This window comes from Homo sapiens, chromosome 18, assembly GCF_000001405.40.
Source record: "Homo sapiens chromosome 18, GRCh38.p14 Primary Assembly".
NCBI lineage: Eukaryota > Metazoa > Chordata > Mammalia > Primates > Hominidae > Homo > Homo sapiens.
This window is the reverse complement of record NC_000018.10, coordinates 11,767,597-11,780,374: the sequence shown is the minus strand read 5'-3', so window position 1 is coordinate 11,780,374 and position 12,778 is coordinate 11,767,597. Positions and strand designations below refer to the sequence as shown.

Here is a 12,778-nt window from a genome sequence, read left to right as displayed (position 1 = left end):
ATATAAGAGCCATAATAAAAACAAACTTGGATATTTGCTCCGAAAAAGGTCTTACGTGTTAGGAATCAAATATATAAACACAGCACACAGGAAAAGTCCCTGGACAAGACAGCAGGAACGTGACTATGCAAAAATGCCTCTACTTCAGGGATTGGAGTCAAGTCCCTACAGAATAATTTTAGGTAACTGCACATAAAAAGAGGTTAAAAAAATTAAAAATAGAAACTTGTCACAGAGATATACTTGTATTACATCTGAGAAATGTAACGCAAACCATCTGAGACCCTAAGACACAGTAAGAATATAAAGCCAAAAGCTGTAACAAGGTACTAACTGCGCTAATGATGCATGTTGCAATGGTATATATGCCACAATCAACAGCAAATGATGACAGACATCTTTTACTGGCTCAGTAAGCTGAAGAAGCCTTCTCCATATGAGTGGAAAAAACAACCCCAGGTTGATATTTTCCATCCTAATTTTTGTTAATGACTGCACAATTAAATTTTTGTAGTATGAGGCAAGGAAATGAATAAAACTGCAAGAGTATTCAAGTGAAAATGATGGACTCTCAGCAAAAGTTTGGTGGATAAATTGTGTTCTTCAGGTCAGGGACTGCATCTTGTTCACTGTGATCCCCCAGTTTCCAGACTACCCCCAGCCTAGGGGAGGTGTTCAGGAAATTCTACTTGAATGAGTGCATGAGCCAATAACTCCCATCTTTCCATTCCCATTGACCCGCATTTTCACTCCCCAAAGAACTGAGGGACTATTAGATCTGATTGTTTGTAGGATGGTCAAGCTTATCTTGGAGCTAGGTCAGAGTGAACTGAAAGGACACCCCATTATTCCAGATAATTCTCCTTTTCAGGCTGCTCCAGGAAGTTTAACCCCCGCCACACAAGCTTTAGTCAGCAGGTTCTTCTTGTCTGTAAGAAAGTCTATCCATCAGTCTCAATACAGGCCATCAAATGACTGCTATTCCATCCTGCCTTCACAATCTGCATTACCACATATATGTAATGTGCAGTTAGTAGCACAGATAATGCCTATTTGCCACTGGTGGGAAGAAATCTAATAATGGACATTCTGGGTGCAATGACAAACTATCAGCAAGGTATAGATTTGGTATACGAGAATGCTGCTTCCATGCTAACTACCCCTTGCAGTCTCCTGCTTTCCATTTCGCAGTAGCACGAGGCCCATTCTTCACACTGCAGTGTATTTTTCTCCACTCTATGAATGCCACTGTTGCTGGGCCAGGAAGAGTTGCCCCTTCCTCACCTCTACGTGCTGTCTCTGGCTCTTTTCACAGTTTCCACAATCCCCTTTCTCAAGAACCTATTTTTATCAGTTCCCATCATGGATTGGGAGATACATTCTTCTTGAAATGTATCTGAACAGTGACTGTTGAAGCAGGGTGGGAGAACAGTTGTTTGTTTTCCTGTCTTCAGAGTTGAAACGTTTTTCATTTGACCACTAGTAATTTTCACCCTTGAAACAGACAACCATTGCTGAAGATCAGAGAAGGGTTAAATTCTCTGGAACATCTGAACCATGACCCACTCATGGTTTTATAGATAAGGTTACTATCTATAAAATTCTTCCTGGAATGTATCTCCCAATCCATGATGGGAACTGATAAAAATGGGTTCTTAAGAAAGGGGATTTTTGTTTTCTATGCACCCACCACACTGACCCCATAACACCTTTGTCATAATTCTGTTGGTTCTCAGAGCCTGCATGGGCCTTCAGAGATCACCTTGCCTAGCTTTCATTTATACAAGAGGATGCAACTAAAGCTCCAGATACTGAGTCACATTTCCCAAGGTTTCGTCACTAATACCTGTGAGAGGAGGAGAAGCTAAGACTGTTTTTGTGGTGTTTCTCTGTAACATCATGCGGCCTTTACAGAGGTTACTCCAGGCTCTGGAAACTTGAATAGGGACCTAGGGGATGCTCGCTCAGCCTGCAGCTGACACCATTTTTGAAGAAATAACTAAAAATAGCAGGAGTAAATGGGACTTAACCTAGCACACAAGTAACCTTACCTATAAAACCATGAATGGGTGGGTCATAGTTCAGATGTTCCTGAGGATTTAACCCTTCTCTGATCTTCAACTATGGTTGTCTGTTCTGAGGGTGAAAACTACTAGTGGTCAAATGAAAAACTTTTCAACTCTTAAGGCAGGAAATCGAACAACAGCTCTCCCTCCCTTCCTCAACAGTCACTATTCACCATACATATGTATGGGTAAGTATGAGAGTCCCTCTCCGAAGAGCACATGTCTGGAGGCGACATGGTAACTTGCAGGGGAAAGCGAGTGATGCCATGGAATCTCAGGCACAACACAAGCTGGTGGGGAGGTGCTGATTCTGTACCCAGAGGCAGCCCAGTGAGGGGCGAAGGGCATAGACTCTGGAACCAGACTCTGGGACTCCAAACCTCAACCCATCACTGACTAGTTGTGTGACCTTCACCTCTGCACTGCCTTTTTCTAGTCTGTAAGACAGGGATGCTGGTAGTCTCCTCCTGATGGGGGTGTCATGAAGATCCCAGGAGCTCGTATGTCTCCAGCTCTTAGGATGTAACGAGTGCTAGGCGAGGGTCTGCTCTTCCGGGTAGGTTGAAATTCCAAACAACTTTTAACATATGTATATACCCATCTAGTTTACCTACTTGATTTTGACTAAACAACTTGCTAAGAAGAGCATGAAGAAAGGCATCCAGCAAAATACTTCAAGAGTGCTAATTACATTACAGGCAAAAGGAAAAGTTATTTGTAACTGTTAAGATTTGAAGCCTCTTTTCATCAACATGCCAACTGTCCTGCTCAAATGAAGATATTGCTTAGAAGATCAATGTATCTCTGTTTACATGCCTTGAATTATATTCTCATGTCAAGTAGCATGTATTGCTGTATTCTGGACACACAGCACTCTAAAGCTTAACGAGTCATCTGAATACCTGTTAGGAGGCCTTCAAAGAGAGTGCAGATCCAGCACTGGCAGAGTTCCTAAAGCAGGTCAGCTAGAGTAACACAGGGAGCTGACTGTGATTTTTTTGTATGGTTCATTATCCCTTAGAAGTGAGAAATTCTCACCAAATTCAGTGTCGTCTGACACATGAGCAGTAATGATACCGGTCCTGGAAGAAAGAGATGTAGCTTCCAGTCTTGGTTCTACCAATGATGTGCTGAAAACTTGGCCAAAGCCCACCATCTCCCATCTCTCTGCCACCATCTACAAAATCACACTAACAGTCTCTGCATTTATTCATACATATCATATATTAATTTTTTTAAAGAGGACCGAGGGATAGAAAAGTGGAAAGAAATGTATTTGTCCTTCCAATTCTGATGTTGAGGAAAGTTAAAATGGCTTTTACATTGATACTACAACCTTCATGCTTTTATGATGTATTGATTTTTTTCGTTGCATTCTTGGGATGACCTCTTGGAAAGCACAAATGACTATCAGCTCGAAGGGTAGAGAAGCTTGTCAGTTGGAAAGGGACCCGCAGCACACAATCCAGTAACAAGTCTTAGTCGTGAAGAGAAGCATGTTTCCAAAAACACAATTTTAAAGTTTTTGACAAAGTACAAGGATGAAGAGAAGACTGTTGCATTTGCAAGGTGTAAATTCTTTTTTTTTTTTTTTTTTTTTTGAGGCAGGATCTGGCTCTGTTGCCCAGGCTGGAGTGCAATGGTGCAATCACGGCTCACTGCAGCCTCAAACTCCTGGGCTCAAGCAATCCTCCCACCTCAGCCTCCCAGGTAGCTGGGACTCCAGGTGTGCACCAGCATGGGTAGTTAATTTTAAAATTTTTTTGTAGAGATGGGGTCTTGCTATGTTGCCTGGGATGGTCTTGAACTGCTGGGCTTAAGCAATCCTCTCACCTTGGCTTCCCAAAATGCTGGGATTACAGGCATAAGCCACTTTGCCTGGCATAAATTCTTATTATGGAAGTTATTTCTTATTCTACACACCACAGAGTGTGACGCTCTTACAAGTGTGAACCCTCTTTTTGTTAACATATTCTTTATATATTAAAAAAACTTCTGAAGAGTATGTAACTCTTTTTTCTAATAAGCAAGTTGAAATCTTGTTGTTATCTACAAAGACATTTTGTATCGTCAGAGCCAAAGTGGCTAGAGAAACCCAAAGAATAGCATGGGCAACTGAATTAAAAAAGAGAAAGTGGCATAGAAGCCAGCAGAGTCAGATTTGCACTGGAAACTCGCAAGGTCATATTGAGCAAAGAGGCGCTCTGGAGGCGGATGCTGTTGATTTTTTAGCTATCAGTTGGGCAACCATGGATGACAATGGAGGGGCGAATTATAAATCACTCCCATCCGGAGACACCTTTTCTCTAGGCTTGAACTATGACAGTTAAACGCTAGGTGAGCAAACATCCCAGTTAATGACATTCTGGCGAGCCTAGCCATCCAAATCAGAAATGTCTGGATACTTAGGGACATCATTCTTTCAGCAATAAAACTTTTTTCCCACATAAACTCTTGAATGGAAATCTTCCTGAAGCATTCCATACATCTCTGCCTTCTTACGAAATGAAAACACTGGAATTTCACCTCCTCTCTCTCCTTGAGGACATAGGATCTTGCGTCAGTCACTGTATTTGTGTTGTAGACACCGGGAACCCCTGGGAATTTGCCCCCACACAGAATGCCTCTTGAGGGACTTGCTTTATGAGTTCTGATGTGCATCTTCCTCTTTTCTTGCTGTCCGTGGTACTTCTCTTTGTCCCCTCTTCATTTCTAATCTGACACAGACTTAGAGGAATCTTTTTGGGTGAGGTAGGGCTTAGACATTGTGGCTCAGAGTGTAGGCCCTGGCGCCAAGTCCCAGCCCTGCTGCACATGCTGTGTGACACGGGCCACGTATCTACCCCGTCAGGGGACCGCCATGGTGGCTACTACACGGGGGCGTGCATGTGTGTGGATTAAGTGAGATCATCTGCGTAAAATCTCAGAGGAGTAAGTACTACAAAGCTAACTATTCAATGGTTAAACCAATGGTTGAAAAATATTTCCTCCCAGTGTGTGCATATGGGTGAGGTGTGGACTCTGCAGAGAAACCCTCCTGGCCACCCCTGGCCCTCAAACAAAGCAAGGGTCCACAGTTGGTTCTCAGTTCGCCAGAACACAGTGCTTTCATCAGGGCCCCCCAGAACCACTTGCTAAGACTGGGAAATGCCACAGAGTAATTCCTTCAAGACAGAAAGGCTGTCTTCAGTAAATCAGGAATTAGAAAGAAGCCATTAGTCAAGGGGAGATTCAGCAGGACTCTCTGCCTCGCACTGGGCTGAGCCGAGCGATGGCCACTCAGGCTCTGCCGCAGGAAGAGGTGCTGTCCATCAGGTGCAGAACTGAAAGATGGCCTGTGCTGTGTGAGCCCTGCCCATCTCCAGATAGATGGCTCATGTAGTGAGCTACAGGCACTCATGGACTGATTATTTCCTCAATAAGACTTAGAAATATACCCGCAATGTCTATCGACCTAAACTCTGCAAACAAAAATCAAAATGAGGGATGGTGAAGTGACCACACCAAGCTTGTAGCTGCAACAAGGCTGATACAGTGTATAACCTGGACCCGTGATTCTTAAACCCAGAAAGGTCACCTCACAGTACACAGGGGGACAGGCTCTGGGGTCAGGCTGCCTGGGCTCAAATTCTGAACCATTCTCTACCCAGCTCTATGACTCGGGGCAAGTCAATTATGTTCTCTGGGCTTCTGTTTTCTCACATATGAAATGAGCCACCATTCTCCACCCATAAGATTGCTGCAGTTATACAGCTTAGGGCAGTTCTTGGCATGAAGTGCTGTTCAAGCAGTGGTCGCCATTTTCATTGGTATCAAGCCAATTTATCAACTTCACCAAAAAAGAGGAAAACCAAGGCGTAGGTGGCTCTTTTAGATGGGCGCTCATGCATTTTAAAATCCCAATTTGGTTTTTCTTTATATTTTAGTCTACACTATTTCAGACCACAATACTTTCTGCAGAATATAGTATTTGTTGACTCTTCCCATGCAATGCCAAGCCTTGAAAACTGACAGAAGGCAGAGAAAGTTCCCTGAAAACACCACAGCCTGACTCTTAATTCAGAGCCAGGCTTGTTCTTCGGCCACACCAAGACGTGCCGAGTCAAACTGGGCCCCGTGCGTGGCTTCAGCACTCGGCAACGTCTGAAAAGGCAGCACACACACATAACATTACGCATGGTGAAGGGTGACCAGGATGACATCTCACATTTACTGAATGTTTAAGGTGTGTCAGGCACAGGGCCCAGCACTTCAGATGTATTATTGTATTTAATTCCCCCAAAAAGCTTCATGTGCTAGGCATTATTATTATTATCCCCATTTTACAGATGAGGAAACTGAGCATAGAGATACTAATTAACTCAACCAAGGTTACATAGACAGGAAGAGGCAGAGGTGAGACCAATTGCAAAGTCTGCACTCTTAACCATAATGTTAAGGAACTTTTACTCTAGTCACCGAAATTACTCAGATGCGATTGTTTTTATATAATCATATGCGTAAAACTATTGTGAGATTTTTCTTTTGAGACAAGGTCTTCCTCTGTCATCAGGCTAGAGCACAGTGCTGCAATCATAGGTCATTACAGTCTTGACTGCCTGGGCTCAGGTGATCCTCCTGCCTTGGCCTCCCGAAAAGCTGGGACCACAGGCATACAACACCATGCCCGGCTATTTTTTTTATTTTTATACAAGATTTTTTGTAGAGATGGGGTCTCATAATTTTGCCCAGGCTGGTCTGGTCTTGAACTCCTGCACTCAAGCGTTCCTCCAACCTCGGACTCCCCAAGTGCTGGGATTAAAGGGATGAGCCACTGCATCTGGCCTATTATGAGATTTTTGGTACTATTTTGTTTCCTCTCTTTTCAAAAAAGAGCCTTAAGAAACAATATCAAGCCTACCGTGGGGACCATTTCAGAGACTGGTTATGTAGTGTGTCATCCCGTTTATCTCCTGCTCCAACACATACCAGGAATCTTTCAGGGTGATTTACACAAAGCCTTTTAAACAGACTGCTCTAACTTCTAGTTGTTGCAATTGTAGGTAAGTGAGCATGTTATGTGCTTAGCCACAAAAAATGGGTAACTATGGGTGGGCAGTGGACATGAGACGTGCAAGCCCTGGTAAGGGGACACCTTGGTGCCAGACAACCCAGGGGCTGTGTGTCTTTGGGAGAACTGGCTGCCTCTCATCTCAGAGGTCAGGGAAGGCTCCCAGTAGAGATGATGGTGGCAAGTGAGGGATGCAGCAGATGTCACTGCTGAGAGTGAAGCACAAAGGCAGGTGCAGACCTGAGCCTGTAGCATAGAAGGGCAGGGCTGGGCCCACTGTGACGGGGCCTCTGTCCGCAGGGAGGATACCTACCACTCGATGGCAATGCTGTCTTCGCAGGACAGGGATGTAAGGGACTGTAATGAGAGACTGACAGGTGACATTTAATCTAACGGGTTGAACCGTAAGAAACTGCCATATCAGAGCTCAAAATTGGCCAAATATTGGCAATTTTTAATAGTTCAACCTAATAGATAATGAAACTCCGCTGTATAAATGCAGACCCGCACCCTGCATGAATGGAAGCGACAAGAAGAGAACTGGATGAGGAATCGGGAGACTCGGTTCTAGTCCTGGCTTTGCCTCCAGGTCAGCACATCTGGATGACCCTGGACAAGTCTCGTAGAGAGTTGCGCTAATGCCCTGCTCATCTGTAGAGGAAGTCTTGGATCAGACACACCTAAGTGCGCTTCCAGCTGAAATGCTAAGATTAGAGGCAAAGCCACCAAAAGAGCACAGATGGGGAAGCTTGGTCAAAACACAATGGAGACATCAACTCTATTTGGCCCTATGATCACCTGGAACAGGACGGCACTGGGGGCAAACTGATGGGCATGGAATTGAAGTGAGAAACCTGCAAAGATGCAGTCTCCTGAATTTCTCAGTAAAGAGAACCACAAGAGAAGCATGAGTGGTAATTTGACTTAAATACTAAGTATGGAATTTCAAATTTACCTTCAATAAAATCAACTAGGACAATTTAAAGCATTCTTTTTATTGAAGCACATACATTTCCTGAATTTCTTACAACTCTTTTCTATTATCTGTCCTGGTATTTTTATTTATTTCTGCTATAATAGTCATACTGTATTCATACCATAAAATTTTACACTGGAGCAAGTGTAATAAAAAAGTCCAAGAATGTCTCTCCATGATCTTCCTGTAGGGCTAGATGCTCTTGAAATGATTTGTATGATGTGGGGGACTTCTGAGAAGGAGCACCTCTGCGGTGTCCAAATTTGCACACAGGGGCGGGGCACCAGTAATCCCAGCACTTTGGGAGGCTGAGGCAGGTAGATCACCTGAGGTCAGGAGTTCGAGACCAGGCTGGCCAACATGGCGAAACCTGATCTCTACTACTAAAAAAAACAAAAAAATTAGCCAGGCATGGTGTCACACACCTGTAATTCCAGCTACTGGGGTGGCTGAGGCAGGAGAATCGCTTGAACCCAGAAGGAGGAGGTTGCAGTGAGCTGAGATCGCACCACTATACTCCAGCCTGGGTGACAGAGTGCGACTCCATCTCAAAACAAACAAACAACAAAAAAATTTGCACACAGGGCTGTGCTGGCCATACTGCACTTGCCACTGTCCCTGGTCTACCTGCTGAATTCACCCATTCTTCAAAGGCCAGGCCACCCCTCACCTTCCCTGGGATAGCACCACTATTTCTCCCAAAGGGCTGTGTCCACCTTCCCCTTGCCAACATGACAGTGTGTCCTAGGGGTTTAAGCTCTGTGAGCCCTGTGAGAATTCCCGTGGGTGTACACAATTCAGCTTAGTATTTCCAATGCTGAACATAGTTCCTGACACATATCAGGTCATCATTTAGAAAAAAAAATGAAATGCCTGTTCATATAAAACTGATAATGATTAATTTCATTATCATTAACTTCCAATTAGTTAATGTTAACATTAACATTAACTTCCAATAAGTTATGAAAATTCACATGATGATATAACACACTACTCACTATAACATTTTAACCAAAGAAATAAGAAACACTAATGATAATCTCTTTTTTTCTTTTTTTTTTTTTTTTACAGAGTTTCACTCTTGTTGCCCAGGCTGGAGAGCAGTGGCACGACTTCGGCTCACTGTAACCTCTGCCTCCCAGGTTCAAGCAATTCTCCTGCCTCAGCCTCCTGAGTAGCTGGGATTACAGAGGCCTGCCACCACGCCTGGCTAATTTTTTGTATTTTTTTAGTAGAGACAGGGTTTGATCATGTTGGCCAGGCTGGTCTCAAACTCCCGACCTCAGGTGATTCACCTGCCTTGGCCTCCCTAAGTGCTGGGATTACAGGCTTGAGCCACCGCACCTGGCCATGATAATATTTATTGGCTTAATTCTTTCAAGCAGTTAAAGATGTCAGCTGATGCCACGTGATTTAAGAAAAAAAGTAAACATATAACACCTTAAGAACTATTTTTAAAAAACTTAAATTTAAAACTAAATACCTTAAAATGATATATCTTCATTCAATATGTAAAGTATTAGAACACTTACATAATATCTAAAATTTAGATTATTTAAGGAGATTATTTAAGCTTGAGAAAATGGAGATAGGAACCTCCCAATAATTTAAAAGGTATTCTTTAGGGTAATGGTACACTCCTGTGGATTAAAAAAAATGCAACCTGATAATAATGCCATAAAATCTTTAACATTATTTTTAATAAAAATGAAAACTCAAATAACTGTTATTTTTCTACAAATACTCTGGTTAAAAATTACTCGTTTGACTGAGATTGCATAGACAGCTCTAGAAACAATCAAGAATAATGGGTGGTCAAACTCATATGATTCTCACATGGGTGGTGGCAGTAGGGAGGAAAATTAAGAGAAAATATGTTTTCCCTTTTTTCTTTTTTCAGAGATGATTCTAAAGGTTTTGCTATGAAAATATCATTCTTTTCAGATGTTTCTGAAGAATAATCATTGAGGTAAGTTTAATATTTGGTAATATTTTTATTTTTGTTTTTAAATTATTAATTTATTTTCAAATCATACTCAGTTTGAATTCAAATAGTTCAAAAATTAATATAATGCTTCAGGATGCTTCCAGCTATTGAAACAACTCAATTAAAAATGTACAACTCACTTTATTTTAGTTAAATTCATAATGCAGGTAATATTAAAAATTATTATGAATATTTAATAATGCTTTATAATTTGCTTTTATAGTACACCACTACAGACACATAAAAAGTTGAATTATCTAATTAAAACATTTTCCCTTCCTATGATTCTAATTCTGAAAACTATAAAAATATTAAAGTCATGTTACATATTTTTCAAAAACAACACTGCCATATCCCATCAATATTTGGTAATATTTTTAAAAAAATGTTCATCATTTACGTATTTTGTGCATGATTCAGCCTCTGCATGTGCCAGTGTGTGTGCATGTGTGTGTGTATATTTTAGACATGTGTGTAAATAGGTAGGATAAGCAAGATTGTAGTAAGGATCATTTTACCTCCACTTGGGATGAGAAAATGGAAATGGAAATGACTGAAGCAACCAACATTTGTTTATCTTTTTGCCATAAACTTACGTGCTTCATGAAATAAAAAATATATACTTCAATTTGTTTGAACATATTCTTTACCAACGTTTCTTTAAACACTAAGTAATTACGTGCATGTGTAATAAACTAACTCCCACAACTGTGGATTCACTTTAAGCTAAAAGATGATGCTCTTCATTTTTCTGAACATCATGGAACAAGTTTGTAGACCAAGGGCTCATTCTTGAGCTCTAGCCAAAGCTTACTGTCCCCCAGACCTGAGAAACTGATGCTGCTATGCTAGGAGTGGCCTTGATTTTGTGATGGGGATATGGCTTCCTGACTAGGCTCTGCTGATGACAATTTTACCTTCCCAGGAAGCCCTACTGTACGAAGTGCAACAATGAAGACTTTTGTCTGAGCACAATAGTCCTTATTAATCTTCTTTTCTGAATGGCTACAGAATGTCTAGTCTATACCACATGAGTTAGCATTAAACTACATGCCTTATTTTTCATTAATTTTATATTACACATTATATATATTATATATAATTTATATAATCTATATTATAATATATATTACATATAATTTATATAATCTATATTATAATATATATTACATATAATTTATATAATCTATATTATAATATATATTACATATAATTTATATAATCTATATTATAATATATATTATATATATTATATATTATATATAATATATTATAATATAGAATATATATATTCTATATTATAATATAGAATATATAATATATATAATATATTATATATAACATATAGTAATATATATAATATATATAATAATATGTTATATATATATTTTTTTTTTTTTTTGAGACAGAGTCTTGCTCCGTCGCCCAGGTTGGAGTGCAGTGGCGTGATCTCGGCTCACTGCAAGCTCCGCCTCCCGGGTTCACACCATTCTCCTGCCTCAGCCTCCCGAGTAGCTGGGACTACAGGCGCCTGCCACCAGGCCTGGCTAATTTTTTGTATTTTTAGTAGAGACGGGGTTTCACCATGTTAGCCAGGATGTTCTTGATCTCCTGACCTCGTGATCCGCCCGCCTCGGCCTCCCAAAGTGTTGGGATTACAGGCGTGAGCCACTGCGCCTGGCCTTTTTTTTTTCGAGATGGAGTTTCGCTCTTGTTGCCCAGGCTGGAGTGCAGTGGCGTGATCTCAGCTCACCGCAACCTCTGCCTCCTGGGTTCAAGCGATTCTCCTGCCTCAGCTGCCTGAGTAGCTGGGATTACAGGCATGTGCCACCACGCCCAGCTAATTTTGTATTTTTAGTAGAGACGGGGTTTCTCCATGTTGGTCAGGCTGGTCTCGAACTCCTGACCCTCAGGTGATCCTCCTGCCTCAGCCTCTGAAAGTGCTGGAATTACAGGTGTGAGCCACGGTGCCCGGCCTATACATTATATATTACAGACATCCTTTCCTTCACTAAGTGGTAAGGCTTTTGAGGCCAGAGGTCATAACTAACACTTCCTTTGTGTAACTCATGGTCCTGAGTACGGTGTTGATAAATACGTGGCTTTATGTACATTTACTGAGCATAACTATATGCCAAATGCCATGTCAAGTTCCTGTCCTCAGTAAAGGCATGTTTAGTGGAAAAACTACATGACTCATCATACTATGAGCTTTAAGAATCAAAGGTCAGGCATAAAAAATGTCAAATATGACACATAAATGTGCTTTCTAAATAAGTCTAGCCTTGTTAATTGGAGGGACTTAAAAGGGGGCAAATAACTAGTTTCTATAGTTATTTGGGTCTTACTAAGAACTTACTAAGTACTCAAGACTAACCTTTGGCAAATCAATATTTAAATAAGGACATCTACACAGCATGCAAACTGTGTTCTTGGAAATCTTAGTGTTTCAGGTAGAGGAAGAAAAAAAAGCAGGCAAGGCAGGGTTTTGAAGATGGTAAGAGCAAGACCTGGTGGGATGGAGCACGCAAAAATAAGGGTACACAGAGAGCAAGCATGGAAGTGTAAGCGTGCACAGACAGCAAGCGTGCAAGTGCAAGGATGCACAGAGCGCAATTGTGCAAACTAAGGGAACAGAGAGAGCAAGTGTGCAAGTGCAAGAGCACACAGAATGTAAGTGTATGAGCTAAGGGTGCACA

The 12,778-nt window shown here is 41.4% G+C and overlaps 1 protein-coding gene across 5 annotated transcripts in view, besides 1 other annotated feature; it reads right to left on the bottom strand.

Annotated features, from left to right (window-relative positions):
* The window catches only part of GNAL (G protein subunit alpha L), a 196,422-nt gene that overhangs the window by 105,311 nt on the left and 78,333 nt on the right, over nucleotides 1-12,778 (bottom strand). The gene's annotated exons all lie outside the window — the stretch shown is intronic.
* Nucleotides 4,722-5,221: an enhancer, noted in NCBI's record as "H3K27ac hESC enhancer chr18:11775153-11775652 (GRCh37/hg19 assembly coordinates)". NCBI's record gives its function as "activates a minimal SCP1, AML or CMV promoter by ChIP-STARR-seq in naive H9 embryonic stem cells {active_cell/tissue: H9 hESC(naive)}" and the evidence as "EXISTENCE:reporter gene assay evidence [ECO:0000049][PMID:30033119]".